Source organism: Homo sapiens, chromosome 3 (genome assembly GCF_000001405.40).
Source record: "Homo sapiens chromosome 3, GRCh38.p14 Primary Assembly".
NCBI lineage: Eukaryota > Metazoa > Chordata > Mammalia > Primates > Hominidae > Homo > Homo sapiens.
Window position 1 is genome coordinate 123,195,057 of NC_000003.12, and position 16,447 is coordinate 123,211,503.

The window sequence follows — 16,447 nt, forward strand, 5'->3', positions numbered from 1 at the left end:
TACATATGTGATTTTTTTCCAGTAGCCACCTTAAAAAAGTAAAAGGAAACAGATAACATTGACCATAATATATTTTAAACTACATATCAAGATATTATCATTTCAACACATATAATCAATATTTTTAAAGTTCTACATTGCTTCAATTTTAAAACTTAATCTTAACTAAAATAAAATTAAAATGATCAAAATTAATAAATTTAGTATTGATACAGTACTACTATCTAATTTACTGTCCATATTCAAATATCATCAGTTGTCCAAATAGTGTTCTTTATGGCTATTTCTTCCTCTAGTCTAGGGTCTAATTCAGGATCCTACACTGCATTTAGTTTTCGTGTCTCTTTAGTCTCCTTTAATCTGGAAAATATCCTCAGTCTTTATCTTTTTAACATTGACATTTTTGAAGGGTATGGGGCCATTTGTTATGAAAAATGTCTTTCAATTAGGGTTACTTTAATGTTTCCATGTGATTATTTTCTGGTTTCGCATTTTTGGTGGGAATCCTACGGAAACAATGTATGTCTGTGGCAGACACAGAAATTCCCTGTCTGGGTCCTCCTTCAAGGGAGGACTTGCCACCCAGCTGCAGGGAGAGTCAGCAGGTAGCCTCCAGCTGATAGCTTTTTGTATGTGCTTCACCTTTGGAGAGCTACCTTGTTTGATATCATGCCCATCTTGGGGGAATCCACATCTGGTGACTTTATGAAGCAAGGATATAAAAGCCTGACCATTCTGATCCGACATAAGACCAAAGGTATCAGACATTTAAGATATATGGAGAAAAGAGTAGGTAGAGGATAATGTATCAGATGGCTATTTTTTTTTTTTCTTTGACACAGAGTCTCATTCTACTGCCCACGCTGGAGTGCAGTGCCACCATCTCGGCTCACTTCAGCCTCCACCTCCCAGGTTCAAGTGATTCTCCTGCCTCAGCCTCCCAAGTAGCTGGGATTACAGGTGCCCGCCATGCCCAGCTATTTTTTTTTTTTTTTTTTTGTATTTTTAGTAGAGACAGGGTTTCACCACGTTGGTCAGGCTGGTCTCGAACTCCTGACCTCAGGTGATCTACCCGCCTCAGCCTCCCAAAGAGCTGGGATTACAGGCGTGAGCCACCGCGCCCAGCCCTAATATGTATCTTTAACTTATCACGTTCTACCTTCAAATACAGTTACACCACTTCATGCATGGTGTTAAAAACCTTCTAACAGTATATATTCATTCCCCTTTCCCTTACAATATCATTAACATATGTTTTACTTCTTCATTTGTTGTAAACATTTTTATTTTTGTTACACTTTTGCTTTAAGTGATTAAAGCAAAAGTGGTAACAAAAACAATTTGTTACCACTTTTGCTTTACGTGGTTAATTATATACATTTTCAAAAGAGGAAAAGTTTTATATTAATTCATATATTCACATTTTCTGATACTTTTTGTTCCTTTTGTGTGAATTTGAGTTTCTTTTTTTCTTTTTTCTTTTTTTTTTTTTTTTGATACAGAATCTCGCTCTGTCGCCCAGGCTGGAGTGCAGTGGCGCAAGCTCCGCTCACTGCAAGCTCCGCCTCCCGGATTCATGCCGTTCTCCTGCTTCAGCCTCCAGAGTAGCTGGGGCTACAGACTCCCGCCACCACGCCCAGCTAATTTTTTGCATTTTTAGTAGAGACGGGGTTTCACCGTGTTAGCCAGGATGGTCTCAATCTCCTGACCTCGAGATCCACCTGCCTCGGCCTCCCAAAGTGAATTTGGGTTTTTATCTGGAATCATTTTCATTCAATCTGAAGAACTTTCTTCAACATTTATTATAATTCAGGTATGCTAGCAACAAATTCTCTCATCTTTTGTTTATCTACAAATATCATTATTTCACTTTTCTTTCTTTCTTTCTTTCTTTTTCTCACACAGAGTCTTGCTCTGTCACCCAGGCTGGCATGAAGTGGCACAATCCTGGCACACTTCAGACTCAACCTCCCAGCCTCAAGCAATCCTTCCACCTCAGCCTCCTGAGTAGCTGGCACTACAAGCACGTGCCATCATGCTTGGCTAATTTTTTATTTTTTAAATTTTTTTGTAGAGACGAAGTCTCACTATGTTCCCTATGCTGGTCTTGAACTCCTGGACTCAAGCAATCCTCCCATCTTGGCTTCCCAAAGTTCTGAGATTATAGGCATGAGCCACCAAGCCTGGCCACACTTTCATTTTTTGAAAGAATTTTTCCTAGACATAGAATTCAAAGTTGACAGAGTTTTTACTTTCAGGACTTTAACATTCTTATTTCATTATATTTTGGCTTTCTTTCTTTCTTTCTTTCTGAGGTGAAGTGTGAAGTCAGTCGTACCTCTTATCTTTGTTCTATATACACAAGGTGGATTCAATGTTTCTCTGGTTGCTTCTAATATTTTCTTTTGATCATTGGTTTTCAGTAGTTTGAGTGTAACATGCCTTGGTGTAGCTTTTTTTGGTGTTTATGCTGTTTGCTTTCTTTCTTTCTTTCTTTTCTTTCTTTTTTTCTGACAGCGTCTTGCACTGTCACCCAGGCTGGAGTGCAGTGGTGTGATCTCGGCTCACTGCAACCTCCGCCTCCCGGGTTTAGGCGATTCTCCTGCCTCAGCTTCCTGAGTAGCTGGGATTACAGGCATGCACCATCCTGCCTGGCTAATTTTTGTATATATACATTTTTTTTTTTTAAGATGAAATTTCACCCTGTCACCCAGGCTGGAGTGCAATGGTGTGATCTCGGCTCACTGCAATCTTTGCCTCCCAGGTTTAAGAGATCCTTCTGTCTCACCTCCCGAGTAGCTGGGATTACAGGCATGCACCACCATGCCCAGCTAATTTTTATATTTTTGGTAGAGACAAGGTTTCACTATGTTGGCCAAGCTGGTCTCAAACTCCTGGCCTCAGGTGACCCGCCCACCTTGGTCTCCCAAAGTGCTGGGAATACAGGTGTGAGCCACTGTGCCTGGCCTAGTTTATTTTCTTGAATCTATGGGTTTATATTTTTTATCAAATTTTGGAAAATTTTGGCCATTATTACTTCAAATATTTTGTATCACCTCTCCTTTCTGAGTCTCTGATTATACATGTTAGATAACTTTGTATTAACCATAGGTCACCAAGGCTGTGTTCATTTTATTTTAAACTTTTTTTCGCTCTGCACTTTAATGTAGATAATTATTTTTCACTGTTACTTTGTTTACTGATCTTTTCTTCAGCAGTGTATAATCTGCTGTTAAGCCCATAGAGCAAAATTACCAATTCAGATATTGTAGTTTTCTGCTCTAGAAGCTTGATTTGGTTCTTTTTATGGTTTTCATTTATCACATTATTTATGTTTCTTTAAATTCTTGGCCATATTTATAATAGCTTCTTTAAAGTTCTTATCTTACCTGCTTGTAACCCCAGTGCGCTGATGCCCTCTAAAACTTAAAAAAAAAAAAAAAAAAAAATTAAAGAAGAAAAGTGAAGTTCTTATCTGCTTTGAAAACTAATTTCATCATCCTTGTCATTTCTGGGTCTGTTTCTATTGACTGATTCTTCTCCCATTTGTGACTCATGTTTCAATGCTTCTTCACATGTGTAGTAATTTTTTATTGGATACTAGGCATTGCATATATTACATGGTTAAGTACCTGAATTTTGTTGTCTTTCTTTAAAGACTGTTAAGTTTCATTCAAGAAAGCAGTTAATTTACTTGCAAATCAGTTTTTTCAGCTTTGTTCGAGTGGGTTTAGAATAGTCTTTACTATTGGGCTAATTTAGCTTTAAAGTGTGGCCTTTTTAGGGTCTCTTTACCAAATGCTTCAGGTTTTAATAAGATTTAATAAGATTTCCCATTCTAATCAGTCAGAGCCTAAATGTTTCCAAACTCTATTCAAGTTCTTGTAGCTGTTCAGCTTAAATTTCCCCAGTAATTGTTATTTACCAGCCTCATACAATCTATCCTTAAAGTTATACCAAAGATTCACAGGAATCCTTATGTATATTTCTGGAGCTCTTTCTCTGGCACCCTGCCCCACAAATATCATTTGTCTCAATCTCTATTAATTCCAATTTCTGTGTCCTCAACAAACCCTGCTTGGCTTTCTTCTATCCTGTGCTTACCTCCAGAAAGAAATCTGTGGATATTCTGGGGACTCATCTTGTTTGTTTTCCTTCCTTCCAAGATCACAACTTTACTATGCCAGTTGTCCAATGCCTGGAAACACTTGTTTCATAGATTTGGTCCAGTTTTCCGTTACTTGTAGTGGAAGGTTTAGTCTGGTATCACTTATTTATTCATGGCTGGATTGCTCTTAACATTTGGAAAAACATAAACTTTCTATTCAATAGTAAAATACATACTGGAAAATTTCATAAATATAGCATACAGCTTGATGAATTTTCTTTTCTTTTTCTTTTCCTTTTTTTTTTTTTTTTGACACAGGGTCTCACTTTGTTGCTCAGGCTGGAGTGCAGTGGCACAAACATGGCTCACTGCAATATTGACCTCCAGGACTCAAGCAATCCTCCCACCTCAGCCCCACAAGTAGCTGAGACTACAGGCGTGCACCACCATGCCTGGCCAATTTTCAGAGAGGGTTTGGCCATGTTGCCCAGGCTGGTCTTGAACTCCTGAGCTCAAGTAATCTGTCTGTCTCGGCCTCCTTGGCCTCCCAAAATGCTGTGTTGGGATTACAGGTGTGAGCAAGCCACCATATCCAGTCCAGTGAATCTTCATTAATTGAAAACACCATGTAATCAACACCTGGATCAATAAGAACATTACTAGATCTCCAGTAGCCCCTTATTGCTCCTTTCTAATTATTAACACTAATAATTATAACTTATTGGTTACCCTTGGGTAACCAATATTTTACTTCTATTACCTTATATGATTTTTTATTTTGAACATTATGTAAATGGAATCATATAGTAATCTTTTTTGTGTCTGACTTATTTCACTCAATTTTTATGATTGTGAAATTCATGCATGCTTTGCATATGGTTGTAGATTATTGTCTTTCCTGTATAGTATTCTACTATGTGAATATTCTTCTTCCTTTTTTTTTTTTTTTTTTTTTGAGAAGGAGTCTTGCTCTGTTGCCTAGGCTGGAGTTCAGCGGCATGATCTTGGCTCACTGCAACCTCTGCCTCCCAGTTTAAGCAATTCTCCTACCTCAGCCTCCCAAGTAGCTGGGATTACAGATGCCTACAACCATGCCTGGCTAATTTTTTTGTATTTTAGTTGAGATGGGGTTTCACCATGTTGGCCAGGCTGGTCTCGAACTCCCAACCTCAAGTGATCCACCCCCGCCCCCGGCCTCCCAAAGTGCTGGGATTACAGGCGTGAGCCATCGCGCCTGGTCAGAATATTCTAAAATTTATTTATTTCATGAACATTCTTATACATATGTTTTCTGGTGAATATATGAATACATTTATGTTGAGTATATATCTAGGACAAAATTTATGTTAGTTCAGGCCTTTCTTCTGAACTCTAGACCTACATATCCAAATCTACTTGACATCTCCATTTATAGGCATTTCAAATTTAACATATTCCAAACCATTTGCTCCTCTTTCTGTGTTCCATGAGTCAGTAAATGGCTTCTTAATCCATCTAGTTACTTAAGGAGTCATCCTTAATATTCCTTTTTGTTGACCCTTCCCGGCAAACCAATCCGTTATGAAGTCCCTTGGATACCATTTCTAATTTATACATATCTTGAAATTATCTACCTCTTTCTGTCTCTAACTCCCATTACACTAGTTCAAGCCCCATCATTTCTGGCTTTGCCTGACGCAACTGCCTCCAAATGGCTTTCCAGCAGCCCTTCTTGCCCTTTTCCACACTATTCTCCACAAACAGCCTGAGTGATTCTTAAATATGCAAATAGGATCCTACTTAATAGTCTTTATTAGCTGCCCATTGACCTTGGGCTGAGATGAGACAAGGGCCAGACCATGCTGACTCTTATTGGCCACATTACAGATTTCAGGCTGTATTTTGGAAGATATCTTAAGGTCAACGGGCAAAGTTTCTCCTTGCTCCCTACACTCCATCCACACTGACTCCCTTTTAGTTCCTAGAGCACAAGAAGTTCTTTCATGCCCCGACAACCTCACACAATATTTCCTTGGCGGGGAACATTCTCTAAGGCTCTTCAATATGCCTGCCGCTTAAAAGGCACTTATTCAGAAGTCTTTTCCCTGATAGTCCAAAATTAATTGATCATTGCACCCACTAATTTTCCCTCCCAATACTGACAATTTGTAGTTCTGTAACTATTTATGCTTTAATATCTCTTGCTCCAATTACTCCTTAAATTCCATCAAGTGTTATGTCCACTCCTGTAACCCCGTGCTTAACACGGTGCTTGGCACATGGTAAACAGTCAGGAAATGCCTGTTTAATAATGCATGACCGATGCGAAGGCTGGAAGGGGTCGCAGGGTCAGCATCTGGCACTTCTCTGCCATGGTTAGTTTCCTTCTTGTGTGTGGGAATAGACGGGGCCAGGTCTTCTCCTTGCTCACCCAGAGGGGGCTTTTCTCCCTGTCCCCTTTATAAGTGTCTGCTGTAGGGCCGCGTGTGAGAGACAAAATGCCTGCAGAAACAGGGCGGCGAGCGGAAGAGATTGGCCCTATTTCTGAAGTCAACGTAGTTCTGTCATCAGAGGATGCTGTACTTTTCTGGCGCAGGTGCGAGAGAAGCTGCCAATCTCTCCTGGAGCGGGTGGGACTAAGGAGGGCCCCGGGAGCTGGGGGGTTGTTGTGTCCTTCCTGCAGAACCCGATTGGCCTGGGTGAGCTGAGGGAACGGGGGCGTGGTTTGATTCCGCGGGCGCGAGCCACGTTGGACGCGCCGCAGCGTCGCCGAAAGGTCCCTCCCAGGCCCCACAATGCACTTCGGGGCGCGTCACTCGGAGCGGCGGGTCCCGTCTCGACAGGTACTCCCCGGCCCCTCCCAGTCCTCTTCTTCCTTTCTTAGGGGTCGTTCGAATCCCTGCCGGCCTCTCCCCTCCCGCTCCCTGCCTCTCGCCACAGCCTCGGCCTTCGCCCTCGGGATTGAAGACCTACCCCACGGGCAGGAGCCAAGTCCGTGCCTTTGGGATGGGAGTCGGGGCCGCGGAGCTCTGGAGGGACGGGCAAGCGGGGACCCCGTCCCCTTCGACTTGAGGGTTCTCTGGGGCCAGGCGGGCGGCGGTTGCGCCTCGTCTGAGCCGCCTCGGGTGTTGGGCAGCCAGGAAAGGAGTGTTTGAAGGGGAGGGACAGTCGCACTTGGCTGTCAGCATGGTGGTGGGGATTCCCTGGCGCCCAGGTGTCAGAAACACGGTGATCTACCTGTGTAGGTGGCCCATGAGAGCTTGAGGTGGCATTTCCTATTTCTTTTAGGCAGAATGGGACTTGAACCAGTGTCTTACTTTACGTTTTGTGGGGATGGAGTGAGCCCTGAGCCCAGATATTTGCCCGCGTTGGCTCACGGAAATCTCTTGAGACCCTGTCTCAAGAGTCACTTTGGGAACGATGTGGCAGAAGGGAGACCTGAGCAATTGGCTCGGCAAGTGGAGGAGGCTTCCAAAAGAAAAGGACAAGCCCCAGCTGGCTTGAATCTCTCTGCCAGTGAAGACAGCTTAAGATAATTTTTCCCTGCTGCTTAGTTTCCTGGATCATCCACCTGGGGCAGGGGGCGAGCTTGAGAACCAGTCCCTCCTATGCCTATTCAGCCAAGGCAAAGCCTAGCCCAGAGCAAAAGTATCAGCCACCAGACTGGAGATGTTGGGATCTTCAGTCAGGGGAACAGCCACTTTTCAAACTCTGAATCACTTTCCATGTTACTGATATTTGCTTACATGCTAAGATTGTAAGGAATCAGGCAATGCCTTAAACGGTACCTACAATTTCTGATATATTAAGGTTCATTCAGTATTTGACTCTGACACCTGTGACCATATCCTAAAGTAATGGGACATTCGGGTATTTCCTATGTTGAAAACCATCACATCTGTTTAGTGCCTTTTTTTTTTTTTTTTTTTTTTTTTTTTTTTTTTGCGTGCAACTGGTTAAAATCGAAGTATATCTTATGTTGGTATATGAAAGAGGCCTAGGTCTTATCACAGGGGTGCCTGTGACCTTCCTTGAGTGTCTCACAGAGTTGTTAGAATTGGGCCTGAGTTTAAATCCCTACTTTGTCACCTACTCGTTTAGGGATTAAAAAAAATTCCTCAAGCTTTCTGGGCTTGAATTTCCTCAAAGGTAAAATGGAACTAATAATACCTATCTCACAGGTTTTTGGAACGCTTAAATGAGGTAATGTGTATAAAGTGCGTGGTCCATGGAGAGTAATCAATAAATAATACAGCAAATATTTAATGTAGTGCTTTTAGCATGTTACAAGGCAATGTTTCAGGCACTTTACATGATCCTATGAGATAGATACTATTGTCATCTTTAAAACAAGCCTATGAGATAGATGCTATTAGTAGCCACAATATATAGATGTGGAAATTGAGATATAGAAAGGCAAAGCTTGTCCAAATTTACATGGCTGGTAGATGGTGGAGCCAGGATTAGAACCCAGGCAGCAAGTGAATAGATAGTTTCTATATCCCTGGTTTCTTGTGTCTTGTTGGTTTTGGGAGACTGATGAAGCATAGTGATGTAGAGATACTAGAAACTTAGACCGAAGTACCAGTTCTGCTATATACTAGCAGTGTGACATTGAGAAAGTGAGCCTTAGTTTCCTCATCTGTAAAATGGTGGTTTTACCTACCCAACCGTGAACTATGTGGCACTATAAAAATGTTGGGATTGACACATTTGAGCATGTATTGGGGGCCCTGTCCTAGATGTGGGTAAAATCTGTTGTGAAGCCTGAGGTCTTATACATACTGTGCAGTGCAAGCACCCATAATAGGAATGTCGAACACTGCTAGTGAGGTAGAAGGCATAGGCAAAATGGCGGAAATTCCATCCCCTTTATCACCCACTCTATCCCCCACCCTCAGCGAGCACTTTTAATAAAATAATATGTACCATATTGGTATTGTTTCCCAAACTTTGGTACTGTCACATATGCAAGATAATTTGATAAGCAAATGAACATTAAAAAATTCTCCCCAAATTTTCACACACATACATATTTGAATGAAACAAGTTCATTTAATTTAAATTAGGAGAAAAACTTAACATCTCAAAACTGATTTCACAGATATTATTGCTAAAAAATAAAGGACAAGAAAAGTAAGTCAATTCAAAGACCAATATTAGGTAAATAGTACAGGTGGATGAAGATAATTCTGAAAGTGGTACTTGGATGACTGAAGACTGGGAAGTTATGAACTAAAATAAATATGAGTGCTTTTGCCCCCAGTATAAAATGTTTTTATCTTAAAAGTGGCATTTGTGAAAGCATTTGGTTAGAACGTATATACAAAATCCACTTACATGTTGGGCTTTGTTTATTACCTTTTGAGAGATAACTTCCTGAGACATTGAGCCTGTAGTCATTACCCCTACAAGGTTCTGAAGAAGAGGGGTGTCTTATTATCTTGGGTCCAGGAACTTGCTAACCACTACTATAGTAGTTTGGCATTGTGGGAATTTATTTTCCTCAGCCTTTACATAAAAGTTTACCCAGATTTACCTAGATTCTAGCTTGTGCTTTTTCCTCCAACAGTTGCTGATGGGGAGAGGAAAAAATAGCCACTATTCAGGTTCCCTGTGAGTTAACTGCTGCTGTACAAAGGCAGGTGTAATATTTTCTCTGTATTAAAGGTGAGGAGAAATGGCCCAGTGCCCTAAACATTTATCTATGGCCCCGATAAGCTAAAAACTCCTAAATCTTCCCATGCAATTGTTGTAATCTCTTGCTTTCCACAGTTCCACTGGTTCTTCCTTGGGATTTTCCCAACCACAACCCTCCTTAAGACCTTAAAGATACTTTAACCTAGCTTAGGCCTGACATGGACAGATTTCCTTTTCTGCTAGCACAGTCCAGATAAGATTAGTTTAAAAAAAAACAAACTATATTATGAATCCGTGGTAAAAAGAAAAAAAGTAGGGGTATGTTTATTGAATTGATGGAGAGACAGCTTAGCCTAAGGTGGTTGGAATCTGTCTACAAATTAGTTAAGCCTGACGTTGATCATTGGACATTCATCCCCGTTTGTCAGGCTTAAATTCAAGTGCTTTGGATGCTGAATCAAATTACTGTGGTAGAAAGAGGTTTAATTTTTTCCCTAAGAAAAATCTTATCTATGGATAAGTAGAAACCATTCTCTGACAACCTTGTAATAATTTTGACAGGGAATGTAACTACTGTGTTCTGCTTTTGGTTAAAGGCTAAAGTACATATTAGGAAAATTTGAGGCTGGGCGCAGTGGCTCACACCTGTAATCCCAGCACTTTGTGAGGCCGACGCAGGTGGATCACTTGAGGTCAGAATTTGAGACCAGCCTGGCCAACACAGTTAAGCCCCATCTCTACTAAAAATACAAAAATTAGCCAGGCATGGTGGCGGGCACCTGTAATCCCAGCTACTTGGCAGGATGAGGCAGGGGAATCGCTTGAACCTGGGAGGCAGAGGTTGCAGTGAGCCATTGCACTCCAGCCTGGGCAACAGAGTGAGACCCTGTTTCAAAACAAAACAAAACAAAACAAAAAAACAACAAAAAAAGGAGTATTTGAAATGTAAGTTTGTCCAACTTTAGTTTTCCAGTTAGTGAAGTGGTGGGCAACACACCTGCATTGTTTGCTCTTTTCAACTGAGTTTCTCTAATTGAGGAGTGATGTTTCTTGATGGTAGGACTCTTCATTCCTGCTATCTGGCATAATTCATGGGACACATTAGATATTCAGTAAATGTTTGGTAAACGAATGGAACTTACAAATTGTATTCTTTTTACAGTATGTGTTTTAGAAAGCATGGATCATATATTTATTGATCTGTCCTCCAAGTCACTAAAGAATAACTTTGAAGACTACATGAAATTTGGCAACCTATTAATGAAGTCTATTCATAATATTTCTATTAGGATCCTAGAGAGGCCAGACATAAAATAATACAGTCTACTTTTATTTTACTTTTTGAGACAGGATCTCTCTCATCACCCAGGTTGGACTGCAGTGGCACAATCATAGCTCACCATTGCCTTGAACTCCTGGGCCTGCTTCAGCCTCCCCAAAGCAAGTACTATAGGCGTGTGCCACCATGCCCAGCTGATTTTTAATTTTTTTTATAGAGACAGAGCCTCACCATGTTTCTAGGTTGGTCTTGAACTCCTGGCCTCAAGCAGTGTTGGGATTATGGGTATAAGCCATGGCACCCCATCCAATCTGCTTTTAAATACTAAAATGTGGGTATTTAGAACTGCAAGTTACAACTCACCCTCAAATTAATTCCCAGAATGGTTATTGTGTTGCAGTGTACTTCTGGAAAGACAACAGTTTTATAGTTAAATAATAAACGCTTAAGGGGATAGAGTAAGACATTTTCCTACTTTCTTACACTTAGGCTAAATGTTACAATTGTGATTTAATAATTAAGTAAAACATGGTAAAAAAAAAATTAAAGAGGGGTTTATAGTATAGATATCTCTTCAGGGATCCCAACTTTTTCATGCTACTGCTTTTAGGAGAGAAAAAAACTAGATGAATGGAAAAAAACACCAATTGGGATATGTCACACTGGGACTTCAGTTTGAAGACTCCACTGTAGTAAAAAGACTAATTTGCTTCTGGATATTTTTCTCTTTAAATGAATGGAGAGGCTGGGCGTGGTAGCTCATGCCTGTAATCCTAGTACTTTGGGAGGCTGAGGTGGACAGATCACTTCAGGCCAGGAGTTTGAGACCAGCCTGGCCAACATGGCGAAACCTCATCTCTACTGAAAATACAAAAATGAGCTGGGTGTTGTGGCGCATGCCTGTAATCCTAGCTACTCGCGAGGCTGAGGCATGAGAATTGCTTGAATCTGGGAGGTGGAGGTTGCAGTGAACTGAGATCGCACCACTACACTCGTCTGGGTGACACAGTGAGACCCTGTCTCTGAAGGAGAAAAATATTAAAGGGTAATGACACAGTAACACCTAGAGATTTCTCCTTTTTCCTCATGAAAAGAGGAAAAAGGGATAGTGAACTTAATGCATTAGATTTATTAGTTGGGTTAATTTTTATTGTCAGATCAGTTATCACCATGAATGGGAAGTCATATTTTGACTTCACACAGCAGTGAAAACTATCAGCTCCTGATTTACAAGCTTTGTAACAACTGGTTTTCTGTGGTATTTTTTTTTATATATATTACTCATTTTTTCCTTTTTGGAATGAGATAATATTGACCTAGATTAAGTGGGCAGGTAAGGATTAATTTAGTCTCTAAGATACAATATTTTTGGAAAAATGCCTGTGAGATTTTTATCAGATTTTTGAATTTTCACCAGTTGCCTCACCACTAGTGAGGAAGCCTTTAGTGACATTGTGCTTTGATGGCCTGACAGAGAAGAGTTATCACTTAATCTTAGATAGTGAACATGTTTTAATTTAATGTTTTAAAAAGTATGGGCCTTAGACAATAAGCAAATTGTCAAGCCCTATCCCACAGTCAGTGGTTCAGAATTTTGAGGGCAGAGCTCAGAAATCTGCATTTTTAACTAAACTTTCAACTTCTTATGCAAGCTAAAGTTTGAGAGCCACTGTGTATTTTATGAAAGGTTGAGTGACTGTTGACCTGAGTTCCTTCAGACTCAGGCCTGTGAAGTCCTTTCATCTGTTTTTGTAAAGCAAGAAGAGAATCCAATAAAATAGGCCATTAAGATTTACTTTCTGGTAAAAAGATTGAGAACAACATTAAAACCAATATTCCTTTAGCTTTAGGATTTATTTTAAATAATTTTTTTCTGATTATAAAAGTAGTATATGTCTACTGTGAATATTGAGAACATTTAGGAAATTATAAAATAATAATAACCAATAATACCATTTCTTAGAGGTGAGCATATTCTTAATTTGGCATCTTTTTCTGCATCCGTTTTTCAATCCCTTTTTCCTTCTCTTTATCTTCGTCTCTTTATCCTTATGTTTGTGTAAAACAACATTTGCAATTTTTATCCTACTTTTTTCTCCTTAACATGTAAGCATTTTACCACATTATTAAACTTTCTCCACAAACATAACTTTTAGTTGCTGCATTATATTCTGTTATATGAATATACTATAATTTACTTAACCATCACCATTTTATAGGATATTTAGATTGCTTTCAGTTATTTGAGTGGAAGAATGTCTTTCTGTTTAAAATTTTGCCTGGATTTCTGATTATTTTTCTCAAGACAGGTATATATTTAAATTTATTGAGGTTAAAAGGTATGCCTTCAGACTCTTGTTGAAATTGCCAAATCATTTTGAGAACTGTTTGTACCAGTTTTTACTTCCATCTGTACTTATGAGAATGCCAGACAGAAGTATTATTTTTTAAAAAGCTAATGTGGCTGGGTGTGGTGGCTCATGCCTGTAATCCCAGCACTGTGGCAGGCGCCTATAGTCCCAGCCACATCCTATGCTGTGGCATGGGAACCCAGGCTGAGGCATGAGAATTGCTTGAACCCTGGATGGGGGATGTTGCAGTCAGCCAAGATGGCGCCACTGCACTCCAGCCTGGGTGACAGAGCAAGATGCTGTCTCAAAAAAAAAAACAAAAAACAAAAAACAAAAGCTATATGTTAAGTGAAGCATAGTATGTTGTTTTAATTAGTTTTTTGTTTTTTTTTTCCTCCTGAGACGGAGTCTCACTCTGTCGCCCAGGCTGGAGCTCAGTGACGCGATTTCGGCTCACTGCAACCTCTGCCTCCCGGGTTCAAGCAATTCTCCTGCCTCGGCCTCCTGAGTAGCTGGGATTACAGGTGTGCACCACCACGCCTGGCTAATTTTTGTATTTTTAGTAGAGAAGGGGTTTCATCATGTTGGCCAGGCTGGTCTCAAACTCCTGATCTTGTGATCCACCCTCCTCAGCCACCCAAAGTGCTGGGATTACAGGTGTGAGCCACCACACCTGGCCATTTTAATTACTATTCTTATATTACTAGTAAGTTGAACATTTTTACATATGCTTATCAAGTTTGGCTTTAATTTTTATGTAACCCAAATTGTTCATTTTGTTTTAGGTCTTCTCTGTTGGTTGAAATGTCTATGATTTTATCTGCCTCAGTCATTCGTGTCAGAGATGGACTGCCACTTTCTGCTTCTACTGATTATGAACAAAGCACAGGAATGCAGGAGTGCAGAAAGTATTTTAAAATGCTTTCGAGGAAACTTGCTCAACTTCCTGATAGATGTACACTGAAAACTGGACATTATAACATTAAGTAAGACTTCAGTTTGCTTCATTTGACTCATTTGCCCAGTAGTTGTCATTTTAATGAAGTTTAAGTGGTTGCAATAGAAAGGAGTGATTAGGAAAACCTGTTCAAGTCGAGCATCATATTGTTCTGAACTTATACTAAATAGTCATCATGTCAGCAGCAGCCTTTTTGTAGTTTCTTTGTATCTGGCTCTGGGAAATTTTATAGTTGTGCAGATCATAGATATCCCTCTTTTAAGTTGATCACTAAATATTTATTTGCATTCTTACATACCTAGGGTTGTAGTAAGCAAACTATAATTGGAAATAAAAATTTTTTACCTGATATCTGCCCTCAAAGAACTGAAGCAACTTACGTCTAGTGGGAGGGGGTAGCACTTATCACTGAGTCACATACAAATCAAGTAAAACTGGGCAATGGGATAGAGAGTGACTATTTATTGTGGTCAAGACACTCTCTGAGAGGGTGACATTTGAGCAGAGACCTAAAAGATGAGAGAGGAGGTAATTATATGAAGGATGCTGTGGATGAAGAGCAAGGCAGAGGTAGCAGCCAGTGGAGAAGCCCTTTTTTACATGCCAAGAGACAGAAAGAAAACCAGTGATCCTGAAGAATTATGGACAATTAATAGAGTTGCAGAAAGTGAGGCCAGAAAGGTAGGAATGGGGCAAGTTATGTAGTGAGTTTGGAGTCTATTAGTCTGTTTAGTCTAATGCAGTAGGAAGCCATTGGGTAGTTTTAAGCTATAGAGTTACATGATTTCATTTGGCTTAGAGTAGATCATTCTGCCTGCACTGTGAAGAATAAAGGAGGAAGTGGAAGCAGAGAGGTCAGATGGAAGACTCAGAGAAGTTCAGGTGGAGGTGCTGATTGTAACGAGCTAGGGTAGTAATGAATAGAAGTAGTTAGATTGGGGCTATATTTTGGGATTAATACCAGCAAATCTTCCTACTGGATTGAAATAGGATGTGAAGGTAAAAGAAGAATAATCACCTGTAGTTTTTTGGCCTGAGGAACTGGATGAATAATGTAGCTGAAATGAGCAAGAAAGGAGAGGATAAGTGCGTCTCCTTGGTAAAAAGTAAGAGTTCTGTTTGGACATGTTAAATCTGAGATGCCCATTAGACATCCAAGGGGCACTGCTAGGTAAGCAGCTGGATATATGAGTCTGAAGCTTAGTGAAGAGGACAAGTATAGACATTTAGATTTGGAAGTCAGCTTACAGTTTGTGATTAAAACCATGGGAATGGATGAGACCACCTTGGAAAGCTTAGACGTGAAACAATTAGAGAACAATTAATGTCTGATATCAAGCTGGATATTGATTATGCATACAGAAGGAAATAAGGTAAAAACACAGTCCATATAGGATATAATAAGCAGAGGGCTTCGTTGTTGAGATGAGACATGAGCCATGTCCTGAAGAATTAATAAGAGTTGGCTAAGGCAGGGAGGAGGGCATTCCAGGTGTACGGAGGAGAGGCAGAATAAGCAAAGAATGTGACTTAGCATGGTAGGTGTATTAACATGCTTATCCTGGGTCAGTGGATGGTGATTTATGGATAGTTGTGAGACATGCGTGATAATCATTGTGGGGCCAGATCCTGGATCGCCCTGAAAGTTCAGATTGAAGGACGTGACTTTGATGTAATATGTTATAGGAAGCTGTGCTGCAGGTTCAAGGGAAGTGACTTGATAAAAACAATCCTGAGACAGTGGAACTTAGGGTGAGTGGACAGTCCAAGAGGAGAGAGATAAGGCAGAGAGGCCAACTTATTAGGGCCTGAAGTAAGAAAATAAACGTGCAAATGAAAATTAGAACACCAAAAGAACTAGAATGATAATGAGAAATAGTTTGATTGGGGATCACTTTGAAGTTGGATCACTTCAAAAGAAGTGACCAAGCTGGATAGGATGGAATACCAGAGATGAAAAGAAGGAAGGGGCAAAGATGACTGAAGCCTTGGAATTGGACAGAATGTTGGTGTCATTGCCAGAAATGAGATCTTTGGAACAGACTGTTTATGAGGTGTGAGGCAGAAGAGAAAGATAATGAAGCTCCATTTTGATCATTTTTTTAAGACACTGGGGCTTGCTCTGTTACCTA

At 40.3% G+C, this 16,447-nt stretch overlaps 1 protein-coding gene across 6 annotated transcripts in view, besides 3 other annotated features; it reads left to right on the plus strand.

The window, feature by feature from the left end:
• Positions 6,444–6,593: an enhancer, noted in NCBI's record as "active region_20390". NCBI's record gives its function as "activates an Ori minimal core promoter by ATAC-STARR-seq in GM12878 lymphoblastoid cells {active_cell/tissue: GM12878}" and the evidence as "EXISTENCE:reporter gene assay evidence [ECO:0000049][PMID:35858748]".
• Positions 6,604–6,683: an enhancer, noted in NCBI's record as "active region_20391". NCBI's record gives its function as "activates an Ori minimal core promoter by ATAC-STARR-seq in GM12878 lymphoblastoid cells {active_cell/tissue: GM12878}" and the evidence as "EXISTENCE:reporter gene assay evidence [ECO:0000049][PMID:35858748]".
• SEC22A (SEC22 homolog A, vesicle trafficking protein) overlaps positions 6,887–16,447 on the plus strand; it is a 72,194-nt gene continuing 62,633 nt past the window's right edge. Inside the window, exons 1-3 of one of the 6 annotated variants that reach the window (XM_011512675.4) lie at positions 6,887–7,078; positions 9,660–9,757; positions 14,143–14,343. In XM_011512675.4, the coding sequence (XP_011510977.1) occupies positions 14,162–14,343 (182 nt within the window). In that variant the 5' untranslated portion in view covers positions 6,887–7,078; positions 9,660–9,757; positions 14,143–14,161. Of the gene's footprint in view, positions 7,079–8,032; positions 9,758–11,244; positions 12,052–13,764; positions 13,882–14,142; positions 14,344–16,447 lie in introns of those variants that run through there. The other 5 variants (XM_011512676.4, NM_012430.5, XM_011512673.4 and 2 more) reach the window with 5 other exon arrangements.
• Positions 6,924–6,973: an enhancer, noted in NCBI's record as "active region_20392". NCBI's record gives its function as "activates an Ori minimal core promoter by ATAC-STARR-seq in GM12878 lymphoblastoid cells {active_cell/tissue: GM12878}" and the evidence as "EXISTENCE:reporter gene assay evidence [ECO:0000049][PMID:35858748]".